The sequence below is a fragment of the Homo sapiens genome, chromosome 17, assembly GCF_000001405.40.
Source record: "Homo sapiens chromosome 17, GRCh38.p14 Primary Assembly".
In the NCBI taxonomy this organism is placed as follows: domain Eukaryota; kingdom Metazoa; phylum Chordata; class Mammalia; order Primates; family Hominidae; genus Homo; species Homo sapiens.
The window spans coordinates 58147614-58166032 of record NC_000017.11 but is presented as its reverse complement, the minus strand read 5'-3'; the positions used below and the strand labels follow the sequence as shown (position 1 = coordinate 58166032).

Here is an 18419-nt window from a genome sequence, read left to right as displayed (position 1 = left end):
TGTCAACCAATACCCCCACAGTTGATTCACTACCCATATCAATTATACTCACACCATCTACAAAGTGCTAGCATTATTTACATGTCAATTATTACTCCCTTTAATACAAGGATTGGCACAAGAAGCCCATATATTTTCTAATTATGAGGAACTGATTAAAAATTGGAATTAACCAACACTGTAAGCTTGATGTGCTGTAAAATCTGTGTGATTTCTCACAGCTCTCTGATCCACGTGAGGTTCTCAGGTTGGTCTGAGTTCTTTCATTGCGAATGTTTATACTTGGCAAAATAAAGACTCTGCCTCTGGGGATAAGAACACGAAGTGACGTTCTTTCACATACAAGAGATGTCAATTTAAAAAAAACACAAATTCTTCCCATTATTTGGAGCTTTAGTCTACTTTAAAATTGAGCCACTCAGGAAAGTAGTCTAGATTGATGGTGGGGATGGGCACAGGCCTTGTTAATGTTATTGACTCTCAGATGGGTGATTTTGAATTACCTGGATTAATTCTTTATGATTCCGATTTAGCTTTCAGTAATAGAGACCTGGTAGGTTCCAGTTTATATATTTCCCCTGTCAAAAGTACAGGTAGGTCGTAAAATGTCCATCAAAGCTCATCTTTACTGCAACCACTAGCCAGTATAATGGTTGCCAGTGTATGAATGGCCTGGATGGAGTAATTATGCTAAAGACTCAGTCATGGAAAATTGAGCTGAGAAAATTATTTCTATATGTATCACATTTCTAAGAAAATAAATGTTTGTCAGACTTAGCTACTATTATAATGTCAAGCCACTAAACGGATACAGGACACGTGTAGAGGAAATATCATGTAAATTCTCATGCAGGAAGCCCAGCATCATTGATAATTAATCATTCTCCCTTTGTGATGGTCTGTGTTATGTGTCAACTTGACTAGGCTATAGTTTCCAGTTATTCAATCAAACTCTAATCTAGGTGTTGCTGTGAAGGTATTTTGTAGATAAAATTGATGTCTATAATCAGTTGACTTTAAGTAAAGGAGGTTATCCTAGATCATCTGGGTGTGCCTGATTCAATCAGTTGAAAGAACTAAAGAGAAGAACTGAGGTTTCCCTGAAGGAGGAAAATTCTGCATGTAGACAGCAACTTCAGCTGATGGCCTGCCCTGCAGATTACGTACTTGCCTAGCCAGCTTCACAATCATGTAAGCCAAGTCCTTGCAATAAATACCTTTATCTCTCTCTCTCTCTCTCTCTCTCTCTCTCCTCTCTCTCTCTCTCAGAGAACATAGCCTCAGTAAGAGATGTCTTAAAGGCATAAATTCTCATAAATATAGCCATATTCATTTTAATGGGGGCATATTCAACAAATTCAATTAAGCACCTGGTGTTGTGGATTAACCATGTGTAAGATAAATCTGGAAGAAATTTTACTTATATTCCTTCCCTTTGTGTCAGTGTTGTAGATTATAAGCAGCTTTTCTGTGCTGTATATTACCTTTAGAACTGATATTCTGAATCATATAAAAGTAAGATTTTTATAAACTAAAAAGTGGCCCAAGACAACTTTTAAAAAATTAAATGAATAAATGACTTCTGGTTATAAGAAAACAAAGGTTTTTATTTTTCTCTTCCTCACTGGCAACAGAAATTCCACTTTCAATAAAATTAAGACATGTTTACAACTCAGATGACAACAAAACCCAAAATGAACCATGAAGGACTATCAAGTACTGTGAAGAGAGAGAGGCTTCTGCCCACAACAACTCCTGGACAATGCTGGCAGAGTTGGCTCCTAAGTAGGTGGTATATAATGAAGATAAAACAACCACCTTTGTGTGGATGGACCAGATCCGGGCACACAGGCTGGCTGCAAGAGCTTCCTTAAGTGATATTAAACACCAAAAAGGGATTGAGAGGCTGGGCTTATGCCACATTTATAACTGCACTATCCAGTAAGATAGAGAAACTGTGGGCTATGGGCACCCCTGCAGCTGCTGATCTTTACCAGCTGAAGAGATAGACTAAATTTACACGCACGCACACACACACACACACACACACACACAAACACACAAATGCCTCTATCATTCAGTGTTCAGTGCTGCACTGTGAGCCCAGGACAATTAACCCAGAGCACTCCCTGGCCTGTCTTCACTACCATCACCACCACTTTTTATTTTAACACATAACTAGTTAAACAAATTGCTTCTTTAAGAATGTGTAATAATTAAAAAGCAACTTGCAGAGTCTATAAAAAATAGGTCAAAAAGGAGGAAAGAAGGCAGGTGAAGAGCACAGAACAGAATAGAGAAGAAAATTTTTATTGAAAAGTTTTTCAAGAATGTAGATAACTCAGAAAAAAATGAATCAAACTTCTATCTATTAAGAGCTCAGCAGAATAATTAAATCTTAAGAATTGAATGATAATATGAAAACAGAGATGGAAAACGTAACTGGCAGAGATCAGGAAAAAAGAATAGGAAGAAAATAAAATCATCACAAAAAAATGGAAACAGTGAAAATGAGAATAGTCACTGCTTAAAATACAGTAAGATATCTGAAAGGCAGGCTTAAGAGAACTAAACACAATGAAATGGAAAAGAGCAAAAGTTTAAAAGGATGAGTAAGAAGTGTGTGTGTATGTTTGTACATGAAATATAGACAAAGAATATCAGTTTAATTAATACTTGGATGTCCTTGAAGAAGACATATAAATAATTGGAGCAAAAAATATCCAAAGATGTAATTCAAGAAAATGTTCCTGAAAATGAAATAAATGGAATCAATAGATTGAAAAGGCAGATTGTGTGCCAGGAAATGTGATAAATGTCAACAGATGCTACAACAGAACTGAATAAAGTTACAGAATTCCAAAGATAAAGAAAGAATCCTAAAAGCTGCCATGGAAAAAGATGAATCCATCTATAAGAAGAAGGCTGGCTTCAAACTTCTCAATAGCCCTAGAAAACGGAAGAACATCTACAAAGACCTAAGAAAAATAAAAAGTATTATCCAAAGATGCTTATTCAGTGAAATTGTCATTTATATATAAAAACAACAGATAAATTGTTTCAAATATTTAATTCAGAAAATATAGTTCTCATAAATCTTTCTTGAAAAACCTACCTGGGGACAAACGCCGGTCAATCAAGATATTAATAGAAATGCAAATGGCCTCTCTATGTGGCTACTTGGGCTTTTTCCTAGCATAGTAGCTTGCTTCCAAGAGTGGGCATTCCACAGAGAACTAATTGGAGTCTGTATTGCCTTCTACGACCTATCCTCAGAGGTTACATGGTGACACTTCCACCAAGATCACAAGCCCTTCCAGATTCAAGGGTAGGAAACAAAGATCCCACTTTGTGAAATTCATATTGTAATGAAGAGCATGTGAAATGGAAGATATTGATGTGGTCATCTTAGAAAAATACAGTATACCAAAACATATCTTTAATTTCCAAGAATTTGTTTCTCATCCTCTTATTGTACCCTTCTAAAATAGCATCCTAATCTTGTTTTATGAATACAGTGACTTATCTTTTGTGGATATTAATGGTAGGATTTTAAAAACTTTCCTGTTCTATGTCTTGACTGTATCAATGTTAATATCCTTGTGATATCATACTATAGTTTTGCAAGCTATTTCTGCCTTAGCCTGTTTGCACTGCTATAACAGCACGCCATAGACTGGGTGGCTTATACACAACAGAAATTTATTTCTCAGTTTTGAAGACTTGGAAGTCCAAGACAAGATGCTGGCAGATTCGGTGTCTCATCAAGGTCCACTTTCTAGTTTATGGACAGCTGTCTTCTCACTGTCCTCACATGGCAAAGGAGCAAGGCAGCTCTCCAGGGACTCTTTTATAAGGGCACTAATCCCATTCATAAGGCCCCTGCCTCATGACCTAATCGTCTACCAAAGGCCCCACCTCCAAATACCATTCCACTGGGGATTAGGTTTCAACACGTGAGTTTTGGGGAGACATAAACATTTAGCATATGGCAGTTACCATTGAAAGAATCTGGGTAAAGTGTACATGAGATCTCTATTATTTCTTACAACTTCAAGTAAATCTGCAGTTACCTCAAAATATAAAGTTAAATTTATAAAAACTTAGAAAGTTTTCTTCTATTACTTGAATTGCTTCTGTTTACTTGGACTTCTCTAATTTTCCGTTTTGTTCTGCTTTTGTGTCTGCCTTCTATATTGGAAATTTTCTTCATCTGCCTAGTGGTCTCCAGCTAACCACTGGTATTTAAAATCAAACCACTAAGATGCTGATTGGAAGCACTATGTGCATGAGTAGGGCTTGAGAACTTGAAGGCCTCTCTTAGGATTATCATGTCACCTGTTTTGTTAACTGGAGAAAACAGCCTGGGACTATTTATTTGGGGCTGTTTTGTATCTCTAAGTAAAATCCTTCCGATTTTTTTGTACAGACTTAAGTACTGGAATTCTGCATTAGGGTCGAAGAGAAGACTTGAAGTAGGATTTCCTCTTTTATCTGGATGAGCACCTCCAGTTCCCCTTAGTGTTCACTGGGCCCACTTAACTTATTGTCAGCTTCTCTAGGCATTTGATTTTATAATCACTGCCCATGATAGAGTTTTCTTATCAACAAGATTTCTCACTCAATCCAATTGTCTGTCTTCTTGCTGCCAGGGGCTTAGACATACGTGGCAGACACTGTTGGTTGCCATTCCCAGTACTCTTTTTCCTGGCTGAAGAAACCAGACATTCACCCTTCCATTCTTTTTTGCAGACTGGGGTGACCATATGATGCAGTTCTGGTCAACTGGGTCATACGATAATTCTGCTGGTGTGGTTCTTTTCTCCCCTGGTAAAAAGAAAAAAAAAAAGCACATGGATGCATTTTCTTATGCTTCTTGCTGAATCACTTGAAATAAAGGTGTGATGCCTGGAGCTTTGACAGCCGTATGGCTACCATGAGAGGAAAGACAAGGAATTGCAGAGCAGCCAACCCAGAGCCCTAAAATGTTTAAATTACTGAATTAACCAACTCTGGAATTGCTTATCCTTTAGTCTTCTGTTTAAATGAGATAATACTTTCTTCTTTATTGAAGCCACTGTCACTTGATTATTCTGCTACTTGCAGCTAAAAGCATTGTTATGGACATATATTTCAGAGGAGAAAATCATCTTTTCTCAAAGAAATTACAGCCCAGTGCAGCAGTATCATATGGTGAGCATCACACCTTAAGAGGGATGTTGCCATATGAGAGTAAATACAGAAGAGATGCCCGGGCTGGTAGAATCAGCAAACCTGTCACAAGAGGAACAACTATAGGAAGGCAGATGTTGCACGTGGAGAAGAGACAAATTGGAGGATGTGAAAAGCATCATTTGATATTTAAAGGATTTTAATGTGAAAGAGGAAAATGCTGTTCTAAGGGGCCACAGAGATCAAATAAGACAGAGAGTCCATTTTACCCTTCCTCATTTCCAAAGGTTGAGTGTAAATGTGGAGAAATGTGTGAAACGGAAACAAGGAGGAAGAAGTGGAGAAAGGATAAGTTCAGAGTTGCCATGATGGCTTCAAGAGAAACCAGGAAGAGCCTCTGACTTCCATTTCTTTTTTTTTTTCTTTCTTCATCTTCTTTTTTTTTTTTTTTTTGAGGCGGAGTTTCACTCTTGTTGCCCAGGCTGGAGTGCAGTGGCACGATCTCGGCTCACTGCAACCTCCGCTTCCTGGGTTCAAGCGATTCTCCTGCCTCAGCCTCCCGAGTAGCTGGGATTACAGGCATCCACCACCACGCCTGGCTAATGTTTTGTATTTTTAGTAGAGATGGGGTTTCACCATGTTGGTCAGGCTGGTCCCAAACTCCTGACCTCAAATGATCCGCCCACCTCGGCCTCCCAAAGTGCTGGGATTACAGGCGTGAGCCACTGTGCCTGGTGTCTGACTTTCATTTCTTGGATGGGATGGTTGCTGGGAGAGAAGGGGGAACAAAAAGCTTCTGCATCATCTTCTTAACTTTGGGTCCATATTATACATTGCCTGAGACTTTTACAAAATGATGCATACCCCAAGGAAGATGGAAGAAATAAATATACAGAAATTGACAGAGGGAAACTATAGGAAGCTGGAAAAATGTTAAAAAAAGATAAAAGTAAAAATGCTTCCTCTCTCTGTCAGGTACTGTTCAGGAGCTGGGAGGATTTAAAAATGAATAATGCATGGCGCCTGCCCTCAAGAAGCTCTCATTCCAGTTAAAGAGAAAAGCAGAAACACACATGAAGTAGTAGCCTTGGAAATGAATTCACTACCCTAGATTTGGAACACTGGTAAGCATGGCCCTGGCCTCTCTGGCCTTGGTTCCTCAATTATGTTATGCCATCCTCCTCTCAGCCATACTATACAAATGAGGGAAAGATTGTGTTGGGTAATGTCTTAGTCTGTTTGTATGATTATAGTGAAACACCACAGACTGCATGATTTGTAAAGAACAGAAATTTATTCTTTTGCAGTTCTGGAGGCTGGACAGTCCAAGATTAAGGTTCCAACAGGTTTGGTTGTCTGGTGAGGGCTATTCTCTGCTTCCAAGATGGCACCTTGTTGCTGCATCCTCCAGAGGGGAGGAATGCTGTGTCCTCATATGGCAGAAGACCAAAGGGCTAGCGAGCCTAATGCTGCATGAAGTCTCTTTTATAAAGGCCTTAATCCCATTAATAAGGGAGGAATCCTCATGGCCTAATCACCTCTTAAAGGCTTCGCCTCTTAACACCATCACACTGAACATTAAATTTCAATACCTGAATTTTGAAGGGGCCATATTTAAGCCATTTCAGCTAAGTAGCACAATGTGAAGATTATCCAAAGAGTATTTAGTAAAGATGGAACAAAAACAAAGGGCAAATGCCTTTTGGGGAACTATTTAGACAATGCTAAAAGTGAGATAACTTTCTCTTCTTTTTTTTGCAATAAAACATGTTTAATTTAATTCAGAATAAGATATAATAACTCTTCAATAAAATATATACAATTGTACAAGGCACCCTTTCAAAGGGGTAAAGGCATACTGGAGGGATGGGAGAGATGGAGAGGAAGGTGAAATACCAGGGAGCTTAATGGGCTGTTTGGCAACTCCATTTTCACCAAGTCAAAACATGGCTTTATCTTCTGCCCTGGACATGTTAAAAAGTATATAAAATTTTCTAATAAGTTTAGCATATACAGCAGGTACACACACAGAGAAAGCATAATTTTTTTTCTTTCTGGATCTACCAATTGTTCAAGAATATTTAGCATACAGGTAATGGTTACAAGGTACTCATTTTTTAAGCAGAAAATTACTGTACCCCCCCACCCAAATAATCTTTGCAATCTGTGAGGATGAAAGTACCTAGTATTTCTCAGAAACCATCAACTCCTCCCAACAGGCTTTAACTTTTTACTCTCCAATTATCTGAAATGAAGTAAAGCAACAGCCTTGAGAAGAATTAGGAAGTATTTCTAATTTTCTACCTCACCTCCAGGCATTCTCAGGATTCTTCTCATCCCGGTTATTGGTCTTACAAAAAAAAAATTCTTCAAAAAGGTAAAACTGTAAAAATGTGTGTGTGGGGGGGGGGTGGGCGTGGGGAGAGATAGGAACAAATATGGTAGTATATAAAAAGGTTTCTTTTAATGCAAGTAAAATGCAGAAATGTGATGTGTCCCCTTCACTTTGAAAAACCTCTCCATATCTAATACTTTCTATGTGCATTATGTCCAATTCTAATATTTGTTTTCCATAAGCAGAAGTCAATCATCCCATCAAAATCATTGACTTTAGCAAGTTTTGCAAATAATTTGTCTCCCTCTTTAAGAAAACACAACAAATGGACTTACACAGTCTCTTTAAGAAGGTGACATATAGGAAAAAAGCACATATGTATATAAATTTTGCCTTTTAAAATAATTTGAATTTTTACATCTACTGTATACAAATGTATTATATTTTATTATATATATATTTATACATAAAAACCATCAGAGCCAATCTTTGTGAAAGGAGAAGGGGGCACCTGGAAGATTACACCAAGAAAACAAGGCTTGGTGCCTCCGCCTAAAGAACAAACTTCAGCTGTGTCGTGTGGCCCTGCCGGCCTAGCCGCTTAGGGTGGTGCACTCAGGGTTTGCAGAACAGGAGTATTGGCTGGTCCTGCCTTCTTGGAGAGGGAGAGGAAACCCTTTGAAACAAACATCCATCATGGAGTCTATTGATCTGGTCTTCCTTAGGACAGGTGGTACATGCCATATCCCACTGGCGTGGCATAGAGTCCCACGGGCGGGATGGGAAGCACAGGTCTATGGAACGGGTAGGATGCTGCGTATATGGACGCTGCCTGCAGGGGCGAGCTGATGGGGAAAGGGAGACTGAAGCTGGAGGGTAGCATAGGTTTTGCAGCCATTTTCAGCTTTTCCAGTTCTGACTCCTGCAGTCTTTTCGTCTTGGCCCTTCGGTTCTGGAACAAGATTTTGACCTGAGTCTCCGTGAGGTTCGGAGAGCTGGAGAAGTCCGCACCCTCTGCAATGGAGAGGTACTGTTTCTGGAGCAACTTGCCCTCCAGAGCGAGGAGCTGGGACGTGGTAAAGGCTGTGCGCGGCTTCGGATTGGTCTTGTGTTTTCTCAGGGTGCAGGTGGTAGGGCTCACGTGTCTTGGCGGCGGCGAATTATCAGCAGGGTTCCTGCATCCACGCCGCTCCGTCTTAGGGAGTTTTCCCACTTGACCGAGGCGGTCTCGAAGGGCTTGATCAGCGGCCCGGGGCTGTGCGCTTCCCGAGCGCCGTGCCCCGGCAGCAGCAGTAGCCGCAGGGTGGCCCCGGAAGAGGCGCTTTTGGCCGGCACTGGGGATGCCTCCTTGGGCGGCTTCTTGTCCGACACGAGCGCATCCACACTGTAGGGCAGGCTGGAGACCTTGACGCGGCGCTCCTCCGCGGCCGCCTCGGCGTCCCCAGGCCCCGGACCTGGCCCGACCGCCACCGCTGGCCCCTTCTCATTGGACGAAAACAGAAGCCATGCCTTCCCTGCCCTACGTAGCTCCCGACGCGCGACTCCGCTAGCAACCCGCAGCGGCGACTCAAACTTTTTTTGTGGGGGAGGAGGGAGGGCGAGATAACTTTCTAAATTCCACAGTGGGGAATGAGGCAGGGAGGTGGGGAGCAGAAAAGAATGTAACTGTCCCAGAGTTAAGATGAAGCAGTTGACCATTCATCAGAGATACTTCTCTATAGACGAAGACCTCTCTAGGTTTTCTCTTGTGGTCGCAGGAAACTCTTGAGTTTCAAATCCCATTCCTATTTCTTGCCTCTAAACTTGGAGTCAAGAAGAACCAGGTTCCAGGGCAAGCTCTGCCACTCACTTACTGTTCACCTTTGAGCAAGTCACTTCTCTCTGCGTTTTCTCATTTGTAAAACTGTTTAACAACAATAATAATATATCTACTGTCGGTTTCATGAAAAGTAATGAGATAAAACTGTGGAAGTGTTAGGCCGGGCGCTGTGGCTCACGCCTGTAATCCCAGCACTTTGGGAGGCCAAGGCGGGTGGATCACCTAGGTCAGGAGTTCGAGACCAGCCTGGTCATTGTAGTGAAACCCCATCTCTACTAAGAATACAAAAATTAGCCGGGCGTGGTGGTGGGTGCCTGTAATCCCAGCTGCGCGGGAGGCTGAGGCAGGAGAATCATTGAACCCGGGAGGTGGAGGTTGCAGTGAGCCTAGACTGCACCACTGCACTCCAGCCTGGGTGACAGAGCAAGGCTCCATCTAAAAAAAAAAAAAAAGAAAAAAAGCGTGGAAGTGCTTAACACAGTACTTGACACAGCACTAGGTCCTCAAGAAATATAAGTGTAATCTGATTTGTTATGCTTTATAAAGACTTTCCTCCATTTTTCATGTGGGAAAATAAAAATCCAGAGAAATTTGTCATTTAAAGTCAACTTACTTAAAGTTTACTCCCTGCAAATTACTAGGCACTTGCCTAATCTCCTCATGGCTGCTTTCATGTCCTGGTTTCTCAGGGTGTAGATCATGGGGTTGAGCATGGGGGTCATGACTGTGTAGCTGATGGACACAGCCTTGTCCATGAGGAATGGGGTGAAGGGCCAGGTATAGATATAGATACAGGGAATGAAGATCATGGACACCACGATGATGTGGGTGGTGCAGGTGGAAGCTGCCTTCCTCCTTGCCTTTCCCGAGTGGGACCTCAGCATCACCAGGATGACAGTATAAGAGATCAGAAGGAGGAGGAACCAGATGATAACTAGCAGCCCACTGTTGGAGATCATGAGGAACTCCAGGAGGGAGGTATCAGTGCAGGCAAGTCTCAGTACTTGGGGAACATCACAGTAGAAGTTATCTAGGATATTGGGGCCACAGAAGGGCAGTGGAAGTATCAGAGCCAGTTGGACAATGGAGTGGACAAAGCCCCCCACCCAGGCGGCTACTACCAGGCCCACACACAATTGAGTGTTCATGATGGTGACATACCGGAGGGGCTGGGAGATGGCTATGTAGCGGTCATAGGCCATGACTGAGAGAAAAAAGACAGTCCCACCTCCCAAAAGGTGGAAGAAGAAGATCTGGGCCATGCAGCCCTGGTAGGAGATCGTCTTGGTCTCATGGAGGAAGTCCACCAGCATCTTTGGAGAGGTGACTGTGGAATAGCAGAGGTCTATGAGAGCTAGATTTCGGAGCAGAAAATACATGGGTGTGTGGAGCCGGCAGTCAAAAGTCACTGTGACCATGATAAGGAGGTTTCCCACAATGGTGGTAACATAGACTAACAGGAACAGAAGGAACAGGAATTTCTGGAGCTCTTGGGTCTGTGAAAACCCTAAGAGGACAAACATTGATACCTGTGTGGTGTTCTGTGGTTCCATAGGATCTTCCCCCACGTTCCTACAGAGAAACCATTGAAACAAACAAACAAACAAAAAAAATGAAAATTCAATCATTTTCCTTGGACAGTCAGGATTGAGTTGATTAAGTTGAGTTGTTGAGTGTCAATCCGAGATGTAGCTTAGGAAAGCCCTCCACGGGGAGGAAGTTCCATATGTTTTCAAGGGTTCCAGAGACTTACTTCCCTGACCACGCCCTACAGTATATTACAAGAATCTGGGTCTTTTTTCCCTTCGGCCATGCTGTCCTCAACCACAGGTTTCATGTCTGATTCTTTTTCATACCTGCTATGCCCAACATAGTGCCTTGTGAACCATAGGTTCCATAAAGCTAGTTGAATCAATCAGTGAATAAATAAACATATCAGCAAGTACCTGTGACCACAAACACCATCAACCTATGTGCATAAATCTTGATAGGATATACAGTTGAGAATAATGATTTTAGATAAACAAACAGATGCTTCTTTATGGTGGGAATTTGAGAGGATGTTTATTGCTGGAGAAAGAGAGGTGTGCATTAGAAGAAAATTGTTATGTACAAAATCAGAGGTAAATGTGAAGAAAAATAAGCAGATAATCTTGGTTGTAGCGAAGCTGGGATGATTAGTGTTTCTCAAATGTTTCCCTGTAAGTACTTCTGTAGTAGCATTTGTTGCCATGGGCCATCTGTGGGGGCAATTCAAAGAAGCCCAGGACAAATGCACTATCTCCTTGAACTCTCATGTTTTAACTTCTAAAATTTATGCGAATTTTCTATTATACACATATCCCTCGACAATCTTTGGGAGAGCTTTTAAAATGTAACTATTATGGTCTTAAAACTTTGACAAGACCAAAGTGTTGTTTAAAAAAAAAAAAAAAAAAAAGAGGGTTGGCTGGATGCAGTGGCTCATGCCTATAATCCCACTACTTTGGGAAGCCAAGGCAAGAGGATCACTTGAGGCCAGGAGTTTGAGACCAGCCTGGGCAACATAGCTAGACCCCTACCTCTATAAAAAAAATTTAAAAATTACCCAGGTGTGATGGCATGCAGCTGTAATCCCCAGCCATTTGGGAGGCTGAGGTGGGAGGATCACTTGAGGCCAGGAGTTTGAGACAAGCCTGGGCAACATAGTGAGATCACATCTCTACAAAAATTTTAAAAGTTACCTGGGCATGGTAGTGCATACCTGTAGTCTCAGTTATTCAGGAGGCTGAGGTGGAAGGATTGCTTGAGCCCAGGAGATCAAGGCTGCAGTGAGCTATTATGGCCACTGCACTCCAGCTGATCTTATCTCTAAAAAGAAAAAGAAAATTAGAGCATGAAGGGAGACATGATTCTTTAGTAAGTGAAAGTTTTAGAAGACATTAGCTTGAAAAATAAACTGAGTTCTTGGTGTTAAAACCCATTCTTTTGGATTATACCTTTCCACAAGTATTTTCTCTAATTGTTCAGAAAAATTTGTCCCAAGGCCCCATCCTGTACAGACAATAGAACATAAAAAGGTCTATTTTCCCTGATTCCCACCTGGCACATGGGTAGGGTAGCAGCAATTACACTGATGCTGTTACGTGGGAATTGGATGAATATATTTGGAAAGATCTCTATAAACCTCTATGGACAAATGTAACAGGATTATCTCAAAACTTATGAGGGATTTCAGTACTCAAAATATTGTCATATTATTCTTCACATAAAATTCACATTTATCCTCAGATATTTGTGCAAAAATGATATTCCAGGAAGATGTGCTGTGTTTGTTCTGTGGCTTCACCAACTCCCAGCCTAGGACTGTTTGAAAAATGTCCCCATAGGCAACTGAGAACCCCGGCAAGCTCTTCAGCAGGAAATGATGTGGTAAAACAGGGTTAGAATGGGCTTATCCCAGTGCACCAGGGCAGGAAGCTGAGACAGGCAAGGGTAGTACACACCCTTCCTGGAGCATTGTCGCAGCAACCACAACAGAGGGTAACACATTTTGGTCTCTGATTTTGTGTCCTTTCTCCACCACATGGTGTCAAGGTTAGACTGGGTGGGCAGCCATTTAAATGGCATGGTTTGGCCTCTCTGGGAAAGCCCCTGACCCTAATCCTTCATCCCCAACTCCAACTCTCACACCTGATTACTGATTCCTGAAATGTTAACAGCATACTTCATTATTTTATCTTAAGATCTTTATCCCTATTAAGATTACAACCACCATACTTTTTCTTTTTTTCAGACAGGGTCTCGCTCTGTCCCCAAGGCTGGCCTGCAGTGGTGCAATCTCAGTTCACTACAACCTCCAGGAGCCAGTCTCAAGCAATCCTCCCACCTCAGCCCCCTAAGTAGCTGGGACCACAAGCACACTTCACCATGCCTGGCTATTTTTTTGTATTTTTAGTAGAGACAGGGTCTGTCATGTTGCCCCTGCTGGTTTCAAACTCCTGAGCTCAAGCAATCCACCTGCTTCTGCCTCCCAAAGTGCTGGGATCACAGGTGTGAGCCACTGCACCCAGCCTACCACCCCCATACATTTTTATATGCTTTTATCAGTCAGAGATGAACACTGAAGTTTTTATGGATGTAAAGAAAAGATGTCTTGGTCTTGCCTTAAAATACTTTATTAAAGGTGAGAGGAGTATGTGAAGCAAGACTGGCAAACTGTTGGTAATAGTGGTAATTCTGAAAATGGTGATTCTCTCTACTTTGTAAATATATACAAATTTCCATGATAAAACATAAGATGAAAAGCCTCAGAGATACTCTAGTTTTGATCCTGATGTCTTTGTATTATTTGGGTATTTTTACTTTGAATGAACTATGTATAAATCATGATGGAAGGAAGGGATTTTAAAATAAAATAACATGGCTGCGTGCAGTGGCTCATGCGTTAATCCCGGCATTTTGAGAGGCCGAGGCGGCCAGATCACCTGAGGTCAGGAGTTCGAGAGCAGCCTGGCCAACGTGGTGAAACCCCATCTCTACTGAAAATACAAAAATTAGCTAGGCGTGGTGGCAAGCACCTGTAATAATATAATAATAATTCAAATGTATCTAGAATTTACTAATTATCCAAAAAGTTAAAGATAAAATATAATAAGGAACAATTTTTAAAAATTATGTTAACATTGATCTTTTAAAAACTTGTAATACTCAGCATTATTGAGAATTTAGAGCAATAGATAAATCACTGGTAGTACAATCTTTCTAGAAGACAATTTGAAAATATGTGCCAAATCCATAAATTATTTATACTCCCTGACCCAGTAATTTCTGTCTTAGGGATTTGTTTTAAAGAAACAATGAAAACTAATTTTTAAAAATGTATGCTTAAGGATATTCATCACATTATTATAATATTGATAAACTAGAAACAACATAAATGCATGACTATAAGATATTGGTTAAATAAAATATGGTTCCTCCATGGGATGAAATACTAGTTAAGAATAAATATATCCTAAAAGGATGTTTAACTCTATGGGATTTGATTTTACCATGGGAGGGGCAGCAGTGATTGCACTGATGCTCTTATAAGGGAATTGAATGGATACATGTGAAAAGATAGCTCTATTGATCATGTCCTTTGCGGGGACCTGGTTGGAGCTGGAAGCCATTATCCTCAGCAAACTAACACAGGAACAGAAAACCAAACACAGAGTGTTCTCACTTACAAGTGGGAGCTGAACGATGAGAACACACGGACACGTGAGGGGAAAAAACACACACTGGGGCCCGTCAGGGGGGAGGCGAGGGGAGGGAGAGCATCAGGAGGAATAGCTAATGGATGCTGGGCTTAATACTTAGGTGATGGGATGACCTGTGCAGCAAACCACCATGGCACATGTTTACCTATGTAACAAACCTGCACATCCTGCACATGTACCCCTGAACTTAAAATAAAAGTTGAAGAAAAAAAAGATCTTCATCAACCTTTACAGACAAATATAGACAGGATTATCTCTAAAATTATCCATGAGGGGTTTTAAGACTCAAAGTATTGTTGTTTTAAAGAGAGAATTACAAAATATTTTGATAAACTATAGTATAAATATAAAGGGAAAAAATGGACATGGAAAACCAAAATGTTACCAGTGTGAATAGTGGTTATCTCTGGTTGATGGGATTGATGGAACATATATTTTCTCTTCTTTACAAAATTTTTTTTATTTCTTGTAATTTATAAATTGTCATAAAATTTTAATCAAAAAAAGCAAAAGAAGTATTATAATGAGACCAAGAAAAAGAAAAGGTAAGAGCTGAAAAACTTCTTAGCATGAGCACTGTCGGGGCGAAAGACAACCGCAGGTGTGCAAGGGGAAGGGTTCGGGGAAGGAGAAACCTCAGAACACTGAGGAAAAGGGAGAGAGAGAAAAAGAGGAGGAGACGCAGTGTGGGAAAAGGGAAAGCTCTTCTGTAAAAGAGAGGAGAGAAGGAGACCGTGATTCCCAGGACTGTTGCAGAACCGCTGGATTCCTCCCCTCCTCATAACCAGTTCTTCAGTTTGAGTGTCACTGTAATGGCTAAAGCCCGTCAGTAACCGTGGGTTCTTTCAGCTCCATCTGGCACTGTGAGCTGCCTGTCATTATTATGAAATCATTCTTGCTACTTCTTTACTCTAAACCCAAATACCTCTCTGGCTCTCCTATTTCTGTCTGTTATCCCCTCACCCAGCTAGACTTCTCCCTTGAACTCCACATGTATTATCACCAAGGCATATTCGTTCTTCCTTTGAAATTACTGCCAAATTATTTTTCCTATCTGGCTTATTGCTGTGGGCCTCCAAGTGGGTTCTTGCCTCCAGGTTTTGGTCCATTTTAATCCACACTGTGCAACATAGTACATACATAAACTTCTTCAACAACATCTTCCCCCTCTATTTCAAAAGGTTTTCAAAAATTTTCCATGGCTCTTTATTGTCTACAGGAAGGAATTTGTACTTAGTTAGGATTTCAGGGGCTTCCACACAAACAGGCTCCTACCTTTCTTTCCAGGTCCATCTGCCACTTAATAGTAGTAGTAGTAAGCATTTATTGTAATTGTAGTAATGGTAATAACTGTGGTAGTAAGCATTTATTGTTGTAATAGCAGTAATTGTCATCGTAGTAAACATTTTTTGAATGCTTACTATGTGATAGACACTATACTAAATATTTTGCTGGCATTATCTTTTTTAATTCTCACATATTATTCCCATGTTTATAAGTATAGTAAGTACCATAAATTATCTCCACTTTACAGATAAGTAAACTGTGGCTTGAATAGGTTAACTAATTTCTCCCAGATCACATGGAGAAGAAGAAGCAGAGCTGGGATTCTGAGCCAGGTCTGATTGACCCAGAATTTGCACTCCTAATGACTATTCTCCTCTTACCTGCTCTCCTCTAAGAAGATTCAGCTTCAGCCAAACTTATCTCTTCTTCGGTCCCTCAGGTCTCAGTGCCTTCATCCAGTCAGTGCCGCATCTGAATTGCTTTTCTGTCCTGTTCACCTGTCTGAATTCTACCCTTCCTTCAAGGTTCAAGAGTAATTAGCTCTTCCATAATGTTGCTATGCCTTGGTATTTTTTCATGAGGATGGCTCTGTTCCTCACATGTGTTGTAATTTCAGTGCAAATCCAATATGTTAAGTATTACACAGTACGTGGTACACACAGACCCTTTCTCATAGTTGGTTCCCAAAAGAATGTGTGATTGCTTAATGGAGGACAGGGTGCTGGGATGGGCCAGACTGCCGTGAGAGCTGGGAAGAAAGAGAGAGTAGCCACTGGATAGAATGCAGTTTATAGGACCTCAAAGAGAATCCAAGAATCCTAATTCCCAGCATCACCAGATTTACAATCCTAGAAGCATCATCTTAGCATGGCCCGATTCTTTCCACAAACCCATCAGAATCTTTGCAAATGCTTCCTCCCCCTACATGCATAGAAAATAGATTTAGAGGGATTCTAGACAAGAAAGAAAATAGACATAGGGAGGGACATGGATCTGTATGGGGAAAGGGGAGGATTCTAGACCTCTTCTGTTGTTACTCAATCTTCTCTCCCATCTGTCTTTGCTCTTAGAAAATCAGCCCACACAGGACTAGGAGAGACGAGGGGAGAAGGAATAAGTGGGTTCCCAAAATGGGGTAGAATCTAGTCTGTTGTCATCCAGGGAGCATTAACAGGTATTGTTAAACACAAGATTTAAGAAAAGAGAGGATAAGATGGAGGGACAGCAATAAAGAAGGGAAGAAAATCTGGAGTGAGTGAGAGAAGCAGGCAGGAGAAGGGGGAAGATGGAGGAAGATGAGACTTAAAAAGGAACAGTAGAGGGTGGAAAGTGTCAGAGCAAGACCTGTTTGTGTTTTCTCCTAGGTGTGGGAAGAAGCTGTAGTATGTATGTGGGAGGCGGGGGAGATAACAGTGTATGTCTATATTCCGCTCTCCCTCCCACCCTCTGTTCTAAATTCCACCCAGCACATAAGCCAATACAGACAAAAGTCTTAATGTTAGATAAAATCAATGTTTCCCAAATCCCGTTCCCCTTGCATTAATGCCTGATGACTTCCCCCATGCCTTCCCTCCACCCCATGCTTGTCTCACGATAGGCTTTGTCGTGCTGATTTGTCCATGGGAAGGACAATGAGGCCATCACCTTCCTCCAGCCCACAGTGGCCAAGAGGACTTAGAGCCTCCCATCTCCCAGGTCACTCTTCTCCTGTAGCTCCATTCTTCTCCTGGCCTCTCTCAGACAAGGAACACATATGGGATTGGCCTTAAGGAAAGGGAAATTCCTTGGGGAGTAAAACTTAGGCTTAATTCATAAGATAAAGCCTGGCTCAGGCTGCTAAGGGCAAATGAGCAATGGGAGTTATTAAAAAGTATGTGAGATGTTGCATCAGATGCACATAATTATTGGGAGACTGTCTTGGGGCCAACATTTCAGAGTTACTGATCAAAGGACCAAGATGAAGAAGGATAAGAACCCTAAAGAGACGTGAATTCCCAGGGAGGTTTACAAGAACCAAATCCCTCAGCACCATGGGCAGTGCAAGGCCTCCACCCTCTCCTATCACCACTGTAGTTGGAAAAGTGAGTTATGTCCTAGGACACAGTCCAGGTCACCCCCTCTATAAACTCCAAAGCCTTTTTCATATGTACAGTCATTAAGGTACCATCTCTTATCCCAATCTCTGATCTGCTCTTCTCTCAGCCAAAGTGAACTCTCAATGTAAATTGGCTAAGTTCATCCTCAAGATATAATTCAACTACCATAAGCTTCACAATTATTAAATGATTTTAACCATTCAGTGGTTTTTAGTATATTCACAAACTTGTGTAACCATCACCACTACCTAATTCCAGAACATTTTCTTCGTTCTGAAAAGAAATCTCATATCCTTTAGCAGTCACTGCCCATTCTGTTCTCTCCTCAGTCTCTGGAAACCACTAATCTACTTTTTGTCTCTGGATTTGCCTGTTCTGGACATTTCCTAAAAATTGAATCATATAACACACATATGATGATATATGGCTTTTGTGTCCTGCTTCTTTCACTTATGTTTTTAAGTTTC

At 41.2% G+C, this 18419-nt stretch overlaps 1 protein-coding gene and 1 pseudogene across 3 annotated transcripts; both read right to left on the bottom strand.

The window, feature by feature from the left end:
* Positions 1–6447: 6447 nt before the first annotated feature.
* Positions 6448–17649, bottom strand: OR4D1 (olfactory receptor family 4 subfamily D member 1). 2 transcript variants are annotated; one of them, NM_001386095.1, is made up of 4 exons: positions 17449–17649; positions 16237–16604; positions 12070–12176; positions 6448–10898 (listed from the first exon to the last, which is right to left on the bottom strand). In NM_001386095.1, the coding sequence occupies exon 4, from the start codon at positions 10877–10879 to the stop codon at positions 9947–9949; it is 933 nt and encodes a 310-aa protein (NP_001373024.1). In that variant the 5' UTR covers positions 10880–10898; positions 12070–12176; positions 16237–16604; positions 17449–17649; the 3' UTR covers positions 6448–9946. The 2 variants fall into 2 exon arrangements, with proteins under 2 accessions (NP_001373024.1, NP_036506.1); NM_012374.2 differs by lacking the exon at positions 12070–12176.
* On the bottom strand, positions 6913–9074 carry MSX2P1 (msh homeobox 2 pseudogene 1; annotated as a pseudogene). The gene has a single exon (NR_002307.1). The product of NR_002307.1 is annotated as a msh homeobox 2 pseudogene 1 (transcript).
* Positions 17650–18419: the final 770 nt, after the last annotated feature.

Bases quoted from the DNA above. Each gene is read 5' to 3' on its own strand.
- OR4D1 (NM_001386095.1), bottom strand. From the start codon at position 10,879: ATGGAACCACAGAACACCACACAGGTATCAATGTTTGTCCTCTTAGGG.